The 20,624-nt window shown below is 39.3% G+C and overlaps 1 long non-coding RNA gene across 6 annotated transcripts in view; it reads left to right on the top strand.

The window, feature by feature from the left end:
- The first annotated feature begins 926 nt into the window (after window positions 1–926).
- Window positions 927–20,624, top strand: part of LOC101929823 (uncharacterized) — a 36,131-nt gene continuing 16,433 nt past the window's right edge. Inside the window, exons 1-3 of one of the 6 annotated variants that reach the window (XR_001752721.3) lie at window positions 956–975; window positions 16,190–16,385; window positions 18,996–19,078. This is a non-coding gene — a long non-coding RNA (uncharacterized LOC101929823). Of the gene's footprint in view, window positions 976–4,756; window positions 4,832–16,189; window positions 16,386–18,339; window positions 18,357–18,995; window positions 19,079–20,624 lie in introns of those variants that run through there. The other 5 variants (XR_001752720.3, XR_001752717.3, XR_001752719.3 and 2 more) reach the window with 5 other exon arrangements.

Genomic DNA, 20,624 nt, shown 5'->3' with positions numbered 1-20,624 from the left:
GGAGGCCGTCACACCGGGACCAAGAGTGCCCTGCCTAGTCCCCATCTGCCCGCAGGTGGCGTGCTGCCACGACACCGACAGCAATAGGGTCCGGCAGTGTCCCCAGCTGCCAGCAGGGGGCGTACGACGACTACACTGTGAGCAAGAGGGCCCTGCAGTGTCCTCAGCTGCCAGCAGGCGGCGTACGGGCACCACACCATGAGCAAGAGGACCATGCAGTGCCCTGGTTGCCAGCAGGGGTCGTGCTGCCACTACACTGTGAGCAAGAGGATCCTGTCGTGCCCCCAGCGGCCAGAAGAGGGCGTGCCCCGACTACACTGCAAGCAAGAGGGCCTGGCAGTGTCCCCATCTGCCAGCAGGCGGGCGTGCGGCCACTACACTGTGAGCAAGAGGGCCCTGCAACGTCCCTAGCTGCCTGCAGGCGGCGTGCCGCCACTATATTGCGAGCAAGAGAGCCCTGCAGTGCCCCGGCGCCAGCAGGGGGCGCTGGCCACCACTGTAAGCAAGAGGGCCCTGCAGTTGCCCTAGTCGCTAGCAGGGGGCGCACTGGGACAGCACCGCGGGCAAGCGGGTCCTGTAGTGCCCGGCTGCAAGCAGGGGGCGCCCGAGCCCGGCTTTTTGGATTACTGAGGTTCAACCCGTCTCTGCGCCGCGCCCCCGGGGACGTGAGTCTGTGCGCCTACAACGCTCCACCCCCGCGCTCTCATCCCGGTGGCGCGTGACTCTGCGTCTGCACCACCCACCTCCCCCCAAACCCACAGCCTAACGACGTGCGTCTCTGCGCCTGCGCCGCGCCTCCCCCCGCCCCCCAGGGGACGCGCCACTGTGCGCCGGCGCCCGCGCGCCGCGCCTCTGTGCGCCTGCGCCGGCGCGCCGCGTCTCTGTCAATTTAGAAAGCTTATTTTGCCCAGATTAAGGACACGACCATGACACAGCCTCAGGAGGTCCTGACGACGTGTGTCCAAGGTGGCCAGGGTAGAGCTTGCTTTTGTACATTTTAGGGATACATGAGACGTGTAAGATGTACAGTCATTTGGCCCAGTAAGGCGGGACAACTGGAAGCAGGAAGTGGGGGTGCTTCCAGGTCAGAAGTAGGTTAGAGACAAAAGGTTGCATTCTTTTGAATCCTTCATCAGCCTTCCACTGAATACACAATTTAGTCTGGCTCAATGAATCTGCATTTTTACATAAATAATAGGGCAGAGGAAGCAATCAGATATGCATCTGTCTCAGGTGAGGGATGACTTTGAGTGCTGTCTGTCCTTTGTCCAAAAGGAAATTCTTTGTGGGCAAATTGTGAGTGAGGTATGTAGCTTTTTATCTTTGTAGCTATCTTAGTTAGGAATAGAATGAGGGCAGGTTTGCCTGACATAGCTCCCAGCTTGACTTTTCCCTTGGCTTAGTGATTTGGGGGTCCTGAGATTTATTTTCCTTTCATGGTATCAGAACAGAGAAAAGGTAATGCGTTGAGCCATGAGCTTATGACAAGATGGCTAGGAAGGAATTTTTCAGCTCCATTTTTATCTCATGGGACCACCATCATATGTATGCAATGCACGAGTGTAAAATCACATTTAGTTAAGTCAGCTTACACTAAGCTATGGACCCAGATGGTCCTGGGGCCTTTTTCCACTGGGAGATCTTTAAGGACCTTTCTTAGCTTTTCTATGCTAATTGGTATATTCATAGTTGCCTTATTTCAGGGCCCATTTTGTTAATGTGTATTTTTACTAGGAAATCACCCATTTTTTCTAGGTTTCCAGTTTGATGTAATTATTTGACTTTTAATTTCTCCTCTGTTTTTAGTTTTGTACATAATTTTCCTATCTACTTTTGCACTCTTTTTTCCATCAACAATATTTTTAAAATATACTTTTTAGCTTTTTTTGAAGAATTGTTATGTTTGACAATTTTTTATGACCTAATCATGACCGTAAATGATTTTTAATTAATTTCAGCTTAATGTCTTTTGTAGGGCACAACTGTTAAAATACAGAATTACAACAAATGTGGGTTTGCAGATCTTAATTGGCTTTTTTTTGTGGTTCTAGAATCAGGCAGCAGTCCAGACCAAAAATGGTTCAGAATGATCTGCCACACAACATGTGCGGGTTATATTTATAGCCAGAGGAAAAAGGTGACATACAGAAAACAGAAGTGAGGTATAGAGGTGGCTGGATTGGTTACAGACCTGGTTACAGCCCGGATTTGCCTTCTTGGAACTTGTTTTGAACAGCTGGCTGCCGGCCATTGACTGACACTCGGCTGATGTGATTGGCTGAACCGCCGCTATTTGTTACCATGATACATTCCCAAGTCAGATTTTCAGTTTGTTTCTATACTAAATTAGGTTGCGATTCTTCTTGTTCTTCTTCTTTTTTCTTTTTTGAGGCGGAGTCTCGCTCTGTCGCCCAGGCTGGAGTGCAGTGGCGCGATCTCAGCTCACAGCAAGCTCCGCCTCCCGGGTTCATGCCATTCTCCTGTCCCGGCCTCCCAAGTAGCTGGGACTGCAGGCTGCCGCCACCAAGCCCTGCTAATTTTTTTGTATTTTTTTTTTTTAGTAGAGACTGGGTTTCACCTTGTAAGCCATGATGGACTCGATTTCCTGACCTCATGAGCCACCCGTCTCGGCCTCCCAAAGTGCCGGGATTACAGGCGTGAGCCACGGCGCCCGGCCGCGACTCTTTACAAGGACTCCTCGGGAGGCTTCCAGAGCCCAAATGTTGTTTGATGTAAGAATTCCTCCCTTTTGGTCAGCCTCTCAATTTTGAGATATTGATCAAAACTTTGGGCATTGGTGTCACTCTTTGTTATCGTTGTAAGTTGAGTTATTAGGACTTATTTGCTTTCAGTGTGGCATTTTCAAGTTTTATTTGGTCTCAGTGCCCTCTGGGCAATAGCAGAACACTGTGTTGTGTAAGGCGGAAATAGAGCAATAGAAAATAACAACTGATTTGTTAATATCAGATTACTTCAAGTTACTTGTTTTGGTAAGAATTAAAGCAGAGGGGACTTCTTTATGCTGACTCAGGTAGACTGGAATCTCTTCAGGGAAAAAGGGAGCTCTTTTGGGATCTATCTACTTCCTTAGAGTTTCAGCTTCGTTGTGTGTCATTCAGCGTGAGTGTCTCCATTCTGGTTTTGCCTGCTCAGTGTGGCCTAGTGCGGGAGTGGTGACCGAAACAATGACCTCCCGTAGTTTGTTCCACAGTTCTCCCCTTTTGATTGGGTTCCTGCCTAGGTGAGGGTGTGACTAAAACCTTAGGGCATTAGCGGTATTCTCAGTAACTATCATTTTAGGGTTCCGGTCTTAGGGCATTAGCAGTATTCTCAGTAACTATCATTTTAGGGTTCCGGTCTTAGGGCATTAGCAGTATTCTCAGTGACTATCATTTTAGGGTTCCGGTCTTAGGGCATTAGCACTATTCTCAGTGACTATCATTTTAGGGTTCCGGTCTTAGGGCATTAGCAGTATTCTCAGTGACTATCATTTTAGGGTTCCGGTCTTAGGGCATTAGCGGTATTCTCAGTGACTATCATTTTAGGGTTCCGGTCTTAGGGCATTAGCACTATTCTCAGTAACTATCATTTTAGGGTTCCGGTCTTAGGGCATTAGCACTATTCTCAGTAACTATCATTTTAGGGTTCCGGTCTTAGGGCATTAGCAGTATTCTCAGTAACTATCATTTTAGGGTTCCGGTCTTAGGGCATTAGCACTATTCTCAGTAACTATCATTTTAGGGTTCCGGTCTTAGGGCATTAGCAGTATTCTCAGTGACTATCATTTTAGGGTTCCAGTCTTAGGGCATTAGCACTATTCTCAGTAACTATCATTTTAGGTTTCCGGTCTCAACACATCATTTAAGAAGTCAGTAAAGCTTTCTTCTACTGTGACAGCATATTTAATACTGAGAAAGAAAAGAAAATTTTTATCTTGCGAATGTGAGCTTCCTCTAAATTATCAGGTCCAGAGAGGCGTGGGAATGAGGCAGCAGTCACGTCCCATTTCCCGCTTAGCTAAGTAATCATATCTTGAAGCTGCTTGCTATGTAGACTAGACTGACTGTCATCAGCTATAGATTAACCTAAGAGTGTCTTTGAATATTTTTTCCAGTGGCAAATATTTGCTTCTGTTGTATCGTAGCTGAAAGGAATGCTGGGAAACAAAATAAAGACAAGCATTCATTAGAATAAGTGATCCAGTCACAATGAATCAATTTGAACTTTTTTTTTTTTCACAAAGTCATACTTTGAAAATGTCCAGCCATAAATTGAAATAGTCTCCAAAATGTGAATTTTTTTCCCTGGTTCTAAGATGACCAGCTTTCTTAGAGAGTGAACTACACCATAAGAAAAATGATATGACCATGTTTACACATATATGTTATCTTAACATAAAACATGTAAAAGGGGCATTTCTTTGAAAGTATATATTAGTCTGTATAATTTACTTTGCAGTATCATGAATGCTCTTATTTTTAAAAGTAGGAGTAGTTACTGTCAATTACTAATTTTTAGTACAAATAATTTAGCAGATATCTGAAAAAATTACAATTTTTAAATAGAGGTTTTATTTTAAATTAGTTTTAGATTCATACAGAAATTGGGAAGAAAATGCAGATTTCCCATGTAGACGCAACCTAGTTTCCCCTCTTTTTAACATATCAACATGTATCAGATAGGTTTAACATCTTTTTTTTTTTTTCTTTTTTCCAGACCAGTTTTTTTTTTTTTTCAACCAGGCTGGAGTGCAGTGGCATGATCTCGGCTCACTGCAACCTCCGCCTCCCAGGTTCAAGCGATTCTCCTGCCTCAGCCTCCTGAGTAGCTGGTATTACAGGCGCCTGCCATCGTGCCCGGCTAATTTTTGTATTTTTAGTAGAGATGAGGTTTCACCACGTTGGCCAGGCTGGTCTCGAACTCCTGATCTCAGGTGATCTGCCCGCCTCAGCCTCCCAAAGTGCTGGGATTACAGGCATGAGCCACCACTCCTGACCAACATCTTACATCATTTCTTGTCATACTTAATGACTGGATATTACTATATTATTAAATAAGCTCACATCTTATTTGGTTTCCCTTAGTTCTGCCTTTTTCTCTCCCAGGATCCTATCTAGGATCCCATAGGACATTTAGTCATCATGTCAGGCTCTTCTTGGCTGTGACAGTCTCTCAGACTTTACTTCTGAGGACCTGGAACAGTGTTAGGAGGATTGGTCAGGTATTGTGTAGAATGTCCTCCATTGTGGTTTACTTGGGGTTTTTCTCATAATCAGCCTGGGTTTAGGGGTTTGGGGGAAGCAGAGCAGATGTGTAGTGTGTCCACAAAAAGAGTCAAAGACTGTAAAATATTTGAAGAGATGTATTCTGAGCCAAATATGAGTGACCATGGCCCTTGACACAGCCCTCAGGAGACCCTGAGAACATGTGCCCAAGGTCGTTGGGGTGCAGGTTGGTTCTATACATTTTAGGGAGGTAGGAGACATCAATCAAGTGTATTTAAGATATATATTGGTTCGGTCCAGAAAGGTGGGACAACCCAGTGGATTAGGGTGGGGTGGGGCTTCCAGGTTATAGGTACACTTAAAATTTTTCTGATTGGCAGTTTGTTGAAAGACTTACTATCAATAGAAAGGAGTGTCTGGGTTATGATAAGGGGTTAAGGAGGCCAAGGTTTTATCATGGAGATGAAGCTTCCAGGTAGCAGGCTTCAGAGAGAATAGATTGTAAATGTTTCTTATCAGATTTAAGGTTGTGTTGATGTTAAATGCTGATTGGCTTTTCCTGAATTCCAAAAGGGAGGAGGGCATAATGAGGCATGTCTGACCACCTCTTTCCCATCATAGCCTGAACCAGTCTTCCAGGTTAACTTTGGTGTCCCCTGGTGGAGAGGTGGTTGTGGGAAAGATCTTTGAATTTTATTTTTGGTTTGCAAGTGCTAGTCTAGTCACTTCATGCTCTCAAGATGTGTTATCACCATTAATGTTAACTTTTATCACTTGGGTGAGGCAGTGTTTTCAGGTTTTTCACTGTGAAGTTACTTTTTTCCCATGTCTATATTGTATGTATGCTTTTGGAGGAAGTCATCATGCAGAGCTCATACTTAAAGGAGTGGGGAGTTAGCCCCACCTCCTTGATGGCTGTCTATATCAGGTATTTGGAATTCTTCTGTGTAAGAGATTTCTATTCAGTCCATTTGCATATCTGTTTAATCATTTATTTATACCAGTATGGGTCCACAGATAGTTACTTTAATCTTTTGGTTGTTATCTAATTGTACAGTATTTTGTTGCTCTTTGTTCATACCTGTGGCCATTGGTAGCTCTTTCCACTGGCTCCTTTTACATAATTTCATGTTTTTTTTTTATAATTTATTTCTGTTACTTCAAAAGTACCCTGGCTCATATATTTTCTGTCCCAGTCCTAGTTTCAGCTATTTCTTCTAATAGCCCTGATTTCTTTTGTTAGAGAATGGTATGAAAAACTTACATCTGGCCACTAAATGTGGTCATTGCATCATGACACTTACAGCTGACAGTGCAAAGAAATATATGTGTGTCTTCTAACTTATATGTACCCACGTAATTATAAAGGTTTCTATGTGGAACCATCTATGTATATGTTAAGCTAAATGTGAGTTTATACTTACGTTGTATATATATATTCTGACTCATTATGACAGAGATCATTCTAGGCTTCCCTATTTTTTATCTGTAACTTCTTGCTGTAATAGTGAGGAACCTGAATGTGAGTTTATACTTACGTTGTATATATATATTCTGACTCATTATGACCGAGATCATTCTAGGCTTCCCTATTTTTTATCTGTAACTTCTCGCTGTAATAGTGAGGAACCTGAATGTGAGTTTATACTTACGTTGTATATATATATTCTGACTCATTATGACAGAGATCATTCTAGGCTTCCCTATTTTTTATCTGTAACTTCTCGCTGTAATAGTGAGGAACCTGAATGTGAGTTTATACTTACGTTGTATATATATATTCTGACTCATTATGACAGAGATCATTCTAGGCTTCCCTATTTTTTATCTGTAACTTCTCGCTGTAATAGTGAGGAACCTGAATGTGAGTTTATACTTACGTTGTATATATATATTCTGACTCATTATGACAGAGATCATTCTAGGCTTCCCTATTTTTTATCTGTAACTTCTCGCTGTAATAGTGAGGAACCTGAATGTGAGTTTATACTTACGTTGCATATATATATTCTGACTCATTATGACAGAGATCATTCTAGGCTTCCCTATTTTTTATCTGTAACTTCTCGCTGTAATAGTGAGGAACCTGAATGTGAGTTTATACTTACGTTGTATATATATATTCTGACTCATTATGACAGAGATCATTCTAGGCTTCCCTATTTTTTATCTGTAACTTCTCGCTGTAATAGTGAGGAACCTGAATGTGAGTTTATACTTACGTTGTATATATATATTCTGACTCATTATGACAGAGATCATTCTAGGCTTCCCTATTTTTTATCTGTAACTTCTCGCTGTAATAGTGAGGAACCTGAATGTGAGTTTATACTTATGTTGTATATATATATTCTGACTCATTATGACAGAGATCATTCTAGGCTTCCCTATTTTTTATCTGTAACTTCTCGCTGTAATAGTGAGGAACCTGAATGTGAGTTTATACTTACGTTGTATATATATATTCTGACTCATTATGACCGAGATCATTCTAGGCTTCCCTATTTTTTATCTGTAACTTCTCGCTGTAATAGTGAGGAGCCTGAATGTGAGTTTATACTCACGTTGTATATATATATTCTGACTCATTATGACAGAGATCATTCTAGGCTTCCCTATTTTTTATCTGTAACTTCTCGCTGTAATAGTGAGGAACCTGAATGTGAGTTTATACTTACGTTGTATATATATATTCTGACTCATTATGACAGAGATCATTCTAGGCTTCCCTATTTTTTATCTGTAACTTCTCGCTGTAATAGTGAGGAACCTGAATGTGAGTTTATACTTACGTTGTATATATATATTCTGACTCATTATGACCGAGATCATTCTAGGCTTCCCTATTTTTTATGTGTAACTTCTCGCTGTAATAGTGAGGAACCTGAATGTGAGTTTATACTTACGTTGTATATATATATTCTGACTCATTATGACAGAGATCATTCTAGGCTTCCCTATTTTTTATCTGTAACTTCTCGCTGTAATAGTGAGGAACCTGAATGTGAGTTTATACTTACGTTGTATATATATATTCTGACTCATTATGACAGAGATCATTCTAGGCTTCCCTATTTTTTATCTGTAACTTCTCGCTGTAATAGTGAGGAACCTGAATGTGAGTTTATACTTACGTTGCATATATATATTCTGACTCATTATGACAGAGATCATTCTAGGCTTCCCTATTTTTTATCTGTAACTTCTCGCTGTAATAGTGAGGAACCTGAATGTGAGTTTATACTTACGTTGTTTATATATATTCTGACTCATTATGACAGAGATCATTCTAGGCTTCCCTATTTTTTATCTGTAACTTCTCGCTGTAATAGTGAGGAACCTGAATGTGAGTTTATACTTACGTTGTATATATATATTCTGACTCATTATGACAGAGATCATTCTAGGCTACCCTATTTTTTATCTGTAACTTCTCGCTGTAATAGTGAGGAACCTGAATGTGAGTTTATACTTACGTTGTGTATATATATTCTGACTCATTATGACAGAGATCATTCTAGGCTTCCCTATTTTTTATCTGTAACTTCTCGCTGTAATAGTGAGGAACCTGAATGTGAGTTTATACTTACGTTGTATATATATATTCTGACTCATTATGACAGAGACCATTCTAGGCTTCCCTATTTTTTATCTGTAACTTCTCGCTGTAATAGTGAGGAACCTGAATGTGAGTTTATACTTACGTTGTATATATATATTCTGACTCATTATGACAGAGATCATTCTAGGCTTCCCTATTTTTTATCTGTAACTTCTCGCTGTAATAATGAGGAACCTGAATGTGAGTTTATACTTACGTTGTATATATACATTCTGACTCATTATGACCGAGATCATTCTAGGCTTCCCTATTTTTTATCTGTAACTTCTCACTGTAATAGTGAGGAACCTGAATGTGAGTTTATACTTACGTTGTATATATATATTCTGACTCATTATGACCGAGATCATTCTAGGCTTCCCTATTTTTTATCTGTAACTTCTCGCTGTAATAGTGAGGAACCTGAATGTGAGTTTATACTTACGTTGTATATATATATTCTGACTCATTATGACAGAGATCATTCTAGGCTTCCCTATTTTTTATCTGTAACTTCTCGCTGTAATAGTGAGGAACCTGAATGTGAGTTTATACTTACGTTGTATATATATATTCTGACTCATTATGACCGAGATCATTCTAGGCTTCCCTATTTTTTATCTGTAACTTCTCGCTGTAATAGTGAGGAACCTGAATGTGAGTTTATACTTACGTTGTATATATATATTCTGACTCATTATGACAGAGATCATTCTAGGCTTCCCTATTTTTTATCTGTAACTTCTCGCTGTAATAGTGAGGAACCTGAATGTGAGTTTATACTTACGTTGTATATATATATTCTGACTCATTATGACCGAGATCATTCTAGGCTTCCCTATTTTTTATCTGTAACTTCTCGCTGTAATAGTGAGGAACCTGAATGTGAGTTTATACTCACGTTGTATATATATATTCTGACTCATTATGACCGAGATCATTCTAGGCTTCCCTATTTTTTATCTGTAACTTCTCGCTGTAATAGTGAGGAACCTGAATGTGAGTTTATACTTACGTTGTATATATATATTCTGACTCATTATGACCGAGATCATTCTAGGCTTCCCTATTTTTTATCTGTAACTTCTCGCTGTAATAGTGAGGAACCTGAATGTGAGTTTATACTTACGTTGTATATATATATTCTGACTCATTATGACAGAGACCATTCTAGGCTTCCCTATTTTTTATCTGTAACTTCTCGCTGTAATAGTGAGGAACCTGAATGTGAGTTTATACTTACGTTGTATATATATATTCTGACTCATTATGACAGAGATCATTCTAGGCTTCCCTATTTTTTATCTCTAACTTCTCGCTCTAATAATGAGGAACCTGAATATGAGTTTATACTTACGTTGTATATATACATTCTGACTCATTATGACCGAGATCATTCTAGGCTTCCCTATTTTTTATCTGTAACTTCTCGCTGTAATAGTGAGGAACCTGAATGGGAGTTTATACTTACGTTGTATATATATATTCTGACTCATTATGACAGAGACCATTCTAGGCTTCCCTATTTTTTAGCTGTAACTTCTCGCTGTAATAGTGAGGAACCTGAATGTGAGTTTATACTTACGTTGTATATATATATTCTGACTCATTATGACAGAGATCATTCTAGGCTTCCCTATTTTTTATCTGTAACTTCTCGCTGTAATAATGAGGAACCTGAATGTGAGTTTATACTTACGTTGTATATATACATTCTGACTCATTATGACCGAGATCATTCTAGGCTTCCCTATTTTTTATCTGTAACTTCTCACTGTAATAGTGAGGAACCTGAATGTGAGTTTATACTTACGTTGTATATATATATTCTGACTCATTATGACCGAGATCATTCTAGGCTTCCCTATTTTTTATCTGTAACTTCTCGCTGTAATAGTGAGGAACCTGAATGTGAGTTTATACTTACGTTGTATATATATATTCTGACTCATTATGACCGAGATCATTCTAGGCTTCCCTATTTTTTATCTGTAACTTCTCGCTGTAATAGTGAGGAACCTGAATGTGAGTTTATACTTACGTTGTATATATATATTCTGACTCATTATGACAGAGACCATTCTAGGCTTCCCTATTTTTTATCTGTAACTTCTCGCTGTAATAGTGAGGAACCTGAATGTGAGTTTATACTTACGTTGTATATATATATTCTGACTCATTATGACAGAGATCATTCTAGGCTTCCCTATTTTTTATCTCTAACTTCTCGCTGTAATAATGAGGAACCTGAATATGAGTTTATACTTACGTTGTATATATACATTCTGACTCATTATGACCGAGATCATTCTAGGCTTCCCTATTTTTTATCTGTAACTTCTCGCTGTAATAGTGAGGAACCTGAATGGGAGTTTATACTTACGTTGTATATATATATTCTGACTCATTATGACAGAGACCATTCTAGGCTTCCCTATTTTTTAGCTGTAACTTCTCGCTGTAATAGTGAGGAACCTGAATGTGAGTTTATACTTACGTTGTATATATATATTCTGACTCATTATGACAGAGATCATTCTAGGCTTCCCTATTTTTTATCTGTAACTTCTCGCTGTAATAATGAGGAACCTGAATGTGAGTTTATACTTACGTTGTATATATACATTCTGACTCATTATGACCGAGATCATTCTAGGCTTCCCTATTTTTTATCTGTAACTTCTCACTGTAATAGTGAGGAACCTGAATGTGAGTTTATACTTACGTTGTATATATATATTCTGACTCATTATGACAGAGATCATTCTAGGCTTCCCTATTTTTTATCTGTAACTTCTCACTGTAATAGTGAGGAACCTGAATGTGAGTTTATACTTACGTTGTATATATATATTCTGACTCATTATGACCGAGATCATTCTAGGCTTCCCTATTTTTTATCTGTAACTTCTCACTGTAATAGTGAGGAACCTGAATGTGAGTTTATACTTACGTTGTATATATATATTCTGACTCATTATGACAGAGATCATTCTAGGCTTCCCTATTTTTTATCTGTAACTTCTCGCTGTAATAGTGAGGAACCTGAATGTGAGTTTATACTTACGTTGTATATATATATTCTGACTCATTATGACAGAGATCATTCTAGGCTTCCCTATATTTTATCTGTAACTTCTCACTGTAATAGTGAGGAACCTGAATGTGAGTTTATACTTACGTTGTATATATATATTCTGACTCATTATGACAGAGATCATTCTAGGCTTCCCTATTTTTTATCTGTAACTTCTCGCTGTAATAGTGAGGAACCTGAATGTGAGTTTATACTTACGTTGTATATATATATTCTGACTCATTATGACAGAGATCATTCTAGGCTTCCCTATTTTTTATCTGTAACTTCTCACTGTAATAGTGAGGAACCTGAATGTGAGTTTATACTTACGTTGTCTATATATATTCTGACTCATTATGACAGAGATCATTCTAGGCTTCCCTATTTTTTATCTGTAACTTCTCACTGTAATAATGAGGAACCTGAATTTTTTTATCTGTAACTTCTCGCTGTAATAGTGAGGAACCTGAATGTGAGTTTATACTTACGTTGTATATATATATTCTGACTCATTATGACAGAGATCATTCTAGGCTTCCCTATTTTTTATCTGTAACTTCTCGCTGTAATAGTGAGGAACCTGAATGTGAGTTTATACTTACGTTGTATATATATATTCTGACTCATTATGACAGAGATCATTCTAGGCTTCCCTATTTTTTATCTGTAACTTCTCGCTGTAATAGTGAGGAACCTGAATGTGAGTTTATACTTACGTTGTATATATATATTCTGACTCATTATGACAGAGATCATTCTAGGCTTCCCTATTTTTTATCTGTAACTTCTCGCTGTAATAGTGAGGAACCTGAATGTGAGTTTATACTTACGTTGTATATATATATTCTGACTCATTATGACAGAGATCATTCTAGGCTTCCCTATATTTTATCTGTAACTTCTCACTGTAATAGTGAGGAACCTGAATGTGAGTTTATACTTACGTTGTATATATATATTCTGACTCATTATGACAGAGATCATTCTAGGCTTCCCTATTTTTTATCTGTAACTTCTCGCTGTAATAGTGAGGAACCTGAATGTGAGTTTATACTTACGTTGTATATATATATTCTGACTCATTATGACAGAGATCATTCTAGGCTTCCCTATTTTTTATCTGTAACTTCTCACTGTAATAGTGAGGAACCTGAATGTGAGTTTATACTTACGTTGTCTATATATATTCTGACTCATTATGACAGAGATCATTCTAGGCTTCCCTATTTTTTATCTGTAACTTCTCACTGTAATAATGAGGAACCTGAATGTGAGTTTATACTTACGTTGTATATATATATTCTGACTCATTATGACCGAGATCATTCTAGGCTTCCCTATTTTTTATCTGTAACTTCTCGCTGTAATAGTGAGGAACCTGGCTCCTACTATCTGCCTTTCATTTCATCCCTTGTACCACTGGGAAGAAGGAATTCATTCTTGATCGAGATTCCAGGTTGGGACTTAATAAGAAATATATGTTTGGTCTGTGTCTGCAGTTCCTGGTACAGAGCTTGTAAAACTATTATAATTTCCTGAACAGTAGGGCTGCTAGGAGCTCTTGTGTTCTAATATTTGGTCTTTGGCCCTGGTTCCTGACGCAGAGTTCCTAAATCTCTTGGAATCTCCTGGATAATAGGAATGGCTTCTGTTCTAATAAGGACACTCTGTGGGTTCCTGGATGGTTTCAGGATGGGGATGGTCACCAGAAAGACCAAGCCATGATAAGAAGGTTGTAACTTTTAGCTTAACATGCAATCCTTTGAGGGTGTGAAGGGACTGGAAATTGAGTTAATAATCCGTCATGTCTACATGATGAAGCTTCCATAAAAATTCCTAAAATATGGAATTTGGTAAGTTCCAGATCAAGGCTGACAGATTTGATGTCTAGTGAGGGCTCATCTATCATAGATAGTGCCTTCTAGCATGTCATGACATGGCAGAATGGGGAAACGGGCTCCTAGATGCTTTTATAAGGGCACTGGTTTCATTCATGAGGACAGCACTCTCATGATCCGATCACCTCTCGGTTACCTCTGAATACCATCCCTTTGGGGATTACATTTCAAAATAGGAATTTGGGGTGGGGGTGTACACACATTGAGACCATAATAACTAGTAAACATAAGTAAGTATTTCCTAGTTCCATAAGCCATCATAGCAAATTGTCAAACCTGAAGAGGGGGTGTAGGAATGCCTAGTTTCTAGCCAAGTCATATAGAAGTTTGGGTAAACTGGGGATTCACAACTTGTGATTGGCATCTGAGGTTGTGGACAGTCTGGTGTTACTAAGCCCTTAACCTGTAGGGTGTAGACTAACTCCAGGTAATCAGTGTCACAGTTGAATTACAGGATACCCAATTGTTTTCCAGAGAGTTGGAATATTGGTTGGTATGGGAAACACCCCCCACCCCCCACAATTTGCTGTTAAAAGTGGAGTGTTGATAGTATAGAGGAAAATCATGGTTATTTTTCTTTTTACAGATATAGTAGTTTCAAAATTAACTATTATCCCTATGGGAAATAACTTTATAGAGTCCACTGTTCGTGTATATAGTACGTTTTGTTTTTAGTCTATGGATTCTACTCATTTCCAGCTCAGCACCTTTGGCCCACCACTTGCAACATACATTGGTAATACAGTTAGATTCTTGGTTTCACTCTGTATTTTGTCCTTAGATACTTCCACATCCTAAATAATTTAATTTGTGTAGATTGTGATTTGTTCTTTGTGCATTAAAATTCTGTGGGTTTTATCAAATGAATAGTGTCAGATATCCACTACTGAAGTAGCATACAGAATACTTCAAATCCCCACCCCAGACAGTCACTGATCTGACTATCATCTCTTTGGTTGTGCTTTTTCCAGAATGTTATATGAATGGAGTCATATAATGTATAGCATCTTCATACTGCCACCCTTTACTTAGCAACATAGATGCAAGATTCATTCATTTGTTTTCATGGATTGACAGTTCATTCCTTTCTGTTGGTGAATGGTATTCCATTGCATGGTTGTACTTCAAATTGATTATGCATTCAGCTATTGAAGAACGTTCTGATTACTTCAAGTTTTGGCCATGATGAGTAGAGTGGCTCATATATAATTACATGCTAGTTTTTGTTTGAACATAATTTTTCAAAGCAGCTGTCTAAACATACACAATTTAGGGGTGCATTTGTTGGATTGTAAGGTAAGACTTGTTTATCTTTGGGAAAAACTGTCAAACTATTTCCCAAAGTGGCTGTACCCATTCATGCATTCTGCCATTAATGAATGGCCGTACCTATTGTTCTTCAACTTCCAATTGTTACTGTTGAGCTTTTTTAAGAGTCCCACAGTTGTACTAGGTGTGCAGTGATATCTCAGCATTATTTTAATTTGCAGTCTCCTAATGAGATATATTGAGCATCCTTTTGTGTGATTATGTGCTATCTGTATATTTTCTTTTTTTTCTTTTTTCTTTTTTTTTTATTGAGATAGAGTCTCATTCTGTCACTCAGGCTGGAGTGCAGTGGTGTGATCCTGGGTCACTGCAACCTCCACCTCCGATGTTCAAGCAATTCTCTTGCATCAGCCTCCCAAGTAGCTGGGATTACAGGCACTCACCACCATGCCTGGCTAATTTTTTTGTATTTTTAGTAGAGAGGGGGTATCACTATGTTGGCCAGGCTGATCTCAAATTCCTGACCTCAGGTGACTCACCCACCTCAGCCTCCCAAAGTGCTGGGGTTATAGGCATGAGCCACCACACCTGGCCTGCTATCTATATATTTTATTTGGCTGGATGTCTGTTCAGATATTTACCCAGTTTTATGTGGGTTTTTAGTTTTCTTAGTGTTCGTTTGAAGAGTTCTTTGTGTATTTTCAATACAGTTTTTAAAATCATGTTTGTATTTTGTAAATATCTTCTCACAGTGTGTCTTGTCTTTTTGTTCTCTGAATAGGGTTTTTCATAGTAGAAAATTTAGTTTTATAAAGTCTGTTCTCAGTATTTTCACGAATTGGCACTTGATGCTGTGTGTTAAAACTCAACACCAGATCGAATGTCTCTTAGGTTTTCTTTTAGATTATTTATAGTTTTGCATTTGAAGTTGTAGTCTCTGGACTATTTTGAGTAGGTTTTTGTGTTTTAATTTGTGTATAGAGTCATTTCATTCTATATGGCTTCCAAATAATTCTTCCATCACCATTTATGGGAAGGATATGGATATAGTGGCCTTTATTTCGGTTTGAATTTCCAAAATTATGACACTGAATAAACTGAATATTGAATTTTATAGGTATTTCAGGACAGCCAGGAGGGGGCGCACATCCGCCGAGAAACTGTGAGCAAGAGCGTCTGTGCTGAACCATGGCGCCACCAGAGGGCGCGCGATCCCGCCGCAACCAACTTCCCGCTGAGGTGCCAGAAGCAGCGAGGAGCTTCGACTTCCTCAGGGCAGCACGGGGGTCGCGTTAACTTGGTGTTCTTCATTGGTGAGTAAAAAGCTCCTGTCCACGGCCCTGAGTGCCAAGGAGTGAGTCTTTAGAGCACTCAGCAGAGGAAGAAATTCATCTAGAAAAATAAAACCCCCAAATCTCACTGTTTGGACTACACCCTAATATCATTGTCAACGTCCAAGACACAGTGGCTGTTAATATATATTCTTACAGTGGCCTCTAATATAATAATCACACTGTGCCCTACATTACTATGATATCCACATCGTGTCCTAACACCTATATAATATTCACACCATGCGCTAACACTGATGTAATCCACAACATCGCTTCCAATACTAATGTAATAATATCCACACCATGCCCTATCACTGATCTAGTCCACACCATCGCTTCCAATACTAATGTAATAATATCCACACCATGCCCTATCACTGATCTAGTCCACACCATCGCTTCCAATACTAATGTAATAATATCCACACCATGCCCTATCACTGATCTAATCCACACCATCGCTTCCAATACTAATGTAATAATATCCACACCATGCCCTATCACTGATCTAGTCCACACCATCGCTTCCAATACTAATGTAATAATATCCACACCATGCCCTATCACTGATGTAATCCACACCATCGCTTCCAATACTAATGTAATAATATCCACACCATGCCCTATCACTGATGTAGTCCACACCATCGCTTCCAATACTAATGTAATAATATCCACACCATGCCCTATCACTGATCTAATCCACACCATCGCTTCCAATACTAATGTAATAATATCCACACCATGCCCTATCACTGATCTAGTCCACACCATCGCTTCCAATACTAATGTAATAATATCCACACCATGCCCTATCACTGATCTAATCCACACCATCGCTTCCAATACTAATGTAATAATATCCACACCATGCCCTATCACTGATCTAATCCACACCATCGCTTCCAATACTAATGTAATAATATCCACACCATGCCCTATCACTGATCTAATCCACACCATCGCTTCCAATACTAATGTAATAATATCCACACCATGCCCTAACACTGATGTAATCCACACCATCGCTTCCAATACTAATGTAATAATATCCACACCATGCCCTATCACTGATCTAGTCCACACCATCGCTTCCAATACTAATGTAATAATATCCACACCATGCCCTATCACTGATCTAGTCCACACCATCGCTTCCAATACTAATGTAATAATATCCACACCATGCCCTAACACTGATCTAATCCACACCATCGCTTTCAATACTAATGTAATAATATCCACACCATGCCCTATCACTGATCTAGTCCACACCATCGCTTCCAATACTAATGTAATAATATCCACACCATGCCCTAACACTGATCTAATCCACACCATCGCTTTCAATACTAATGTAATAATATCCACACCATGCCCTATCACTGATCTAGTCCACACCATCGCTTCCAATACTAATGTAATAATATCCACACCATGCCCTATCACTGATCTAGTCCACACCATCGCTTCCAATACTAATGTAATAATATCCACACCATGCCCTAAGACTAATGTAATATCTGCACCATTCCCTAACACCAATACAATATCCACACCATTCCCTAACACTAATCTAGACACCCATACCATGCCCTAACACTAATATATTGACACAATGGCCTCTAATACTAATAAATATAATAATATCTACTACGTGGACTCTGTTGACATTGAGACTTTTTTAAGGGTTTTACAGCTTTGGCTGAACTATAGCCTCTGCAATGGATTTTGATGATGTGTCTGCTTTCCTGGCATGGTATTGACATGGTTGTTTTAAAAAGTAACTTATTTTCCAATAATGTCATATTTCTAGGCAACTTCCAGTAGTAGTACAAAGTACAACTTGTTTCTTCCCTTAGATTCCCCAACAGTTATTGCTGTACCAGATTTGCAGTGTCCCACAAAATACTCCGGTATATTGTACTGAAAACATGGACACTCTCCCAGGTAACTACCACATAACCCCTAGATCAGGAAATCAGCATTGTTCCTACATGATAATTCGGTCCACAAACTCACTTCACTTTTACCTCATGCCACACTTGGGAGTATAATGTGTTTTTTTTTTTTTCATTAGGATCCAGTTTTCTTTTCCTGGAACTGTTCCCCAGACTTTCCTGCATATTTATGACCTTGACACATTTAAAGAGCATACAGGTTTTTGTTTGAACAGTTGTTTTCAGGTCTTTGGGGTATATACCTAGGAATGGAATCATTGACTCATATGGTAAATCTATTTGTAACTTCATGAGGAAACATCAAATTATTTTACACGTAGGCTGCACCATTTCATATTGTCACAAGCAGTGTTTAAGAGTTCAAGTTTCTGCACATCTTTGTCAACACTTGTTATTTTTTAGTATAACTATTCTTGTGTGAGTTAAGGGTTATCTCTTTATGGTTTTAATTATGGTAATGATGTTAAGCATCTTTTCATGTGCTTGTTGGTGAAGTGTGTATTAAAGTCTTTTGTCAATTTTTAGATTGGGTTGTCTTTGCTATGGAGTTGTAAAAGTTCTTTATACATTCTGGATAACAGACACTGATGAAGTATCTAATGTGCAGACATTTTCTTCCATTTTATAGGTTGTTGGAACGTAATAAGAGTTAATGTGTGGTCTCTGCTGCAGTGTCCTGAAACAGAGCGCTAAGCCTTGGGAATGTACGAAGTAATGTGTGTTTCGTATGCTAATGAAATGATTGATGGCTGGGGGCACCTGGACACCCTCAGTGGGGCTGGCTGCCAAGGGAAGCAACCTTGTCATGAGAGAATTTGAAATTTCTTCCCCCGTCCCGTCTCTGTGAAGGGGAGAGGTGCTGATGGTTGAGTTGATCACCTATGGCCACAGACGTAACCAATCTGCCTGTGTAATAAAGGACAGGGTTGGGAGAGCATCTGTGTTGCTCTCCCAACACAGGAGATACTGGGAGGATCATATCTGGCGAGGGCATGGGAGGCCTGCATTCCTTCCATGTACCTCACCTTGTGCCTCTCTTCATCTGGCTTTTCATTTGTAGTGTTTAAAAGATCCTTGGTAATGAGTCAGGAATAGTAAGTACACTGCTTTCATGGGTTGTGTAATGTGATGTAGCAAATTGCTGAACCCAATAAGGGTGTTGTGGGAGCCTCCAATCTGTAGCAAAGTCAGACAGAAGGTAACCTGGGAACCTACTGTTTCTGGTTGGCATCTTAAGTGGTTACAGTCTTGTAACTGAGTACCCATATTTTCTTAAAGAAGAAATGAATTAGTTTTACCATTTTGCTGTTCCTGCATTTAGCTCTTTAGGAATGCAATTATAAGCTTTACTGTCTCTCCACCAGACACTTCCTATACTGCAAACTTTTCCAACTGTGTGATTACTTGTAAGTTCCAGGGACCAAACCTTGAAACAAACTGGCACTTCCATATCTCTCCCCCACCAGGAGATTGGCAGCAGACAACAGTCAATTTACAACCTGGCTCTGCCCGTGATGGTGCTAGCAAGACCACCTAATGGAGAAAACATCAGAGCATGTCCCATAGACCCCGCACCTCCTCACCTCATCCCCTGCATGCCATTCTGGCAAGTCCGAAGGCCCCGCTTTCTGCCCAGAAAGTGGAAGCGCTTCCCTTAAGGCAAGAGCCTGTACGTTCCCTTCAGCTAAGCTCTGGCATAAAGTCACTTTCTTTTTACCATCCTTGTGTTTGTCATTTAAATTTGCAAGCAACAAGGGGCATGATGTGTATTCCTAGGACTGAGCCCTTAGCCTATGGGGTCTGATGCTTTCTCCATTTACTGTCACAATTGGATTGCACTGTAGGACACCCAGCTGGTACCCAAGATTTGGTCTGTGTGGGGAAAAAACCCATGTATCTGGTAACAGAAGTGTTCTGTGTTGAGTGTTGAGAGTATACTATAAGACAGTTGTTTTTCCTATTATAACATTTTGTCTTTCAACTTTTTTCTTCATGTCTTCTGAGACGTAAAAGTTGTAAATTTTGAGGAAATAAATTGATTTATTTTTCCTTTTGTGGTCTGTGCTTTTGGTGTCAGATGTAAGAAACTATTGCTACATGTAAGGTCATGAATGCTTAACTGTATGTTTTCTTCCAGAGTTTTTAGTTTTCACCTGTTTTGGTCTTCGATCCATTGTAAGTTAATTTTTTATGTGGTATGAGGTAAGGATACAATTTCATTTCCCTTTATGTGGATAGCAAGTTGCCTTACATCACT

This window comes from Homo sapiens, chromosome 17, assembly GCF_000001405.40.
Source record: "Homo sapiens chromosome 17, GRCh38.p14 Primary Assembly".
Lineage (NCBI taxonomy): Eukaryota > Metazoa > Chordata > Mammalia > Primates > Hominidae > Homo > Homo sapiens.
This window is presented reverse-complemented; position numbering and strand designations above follow the sequence as displayed.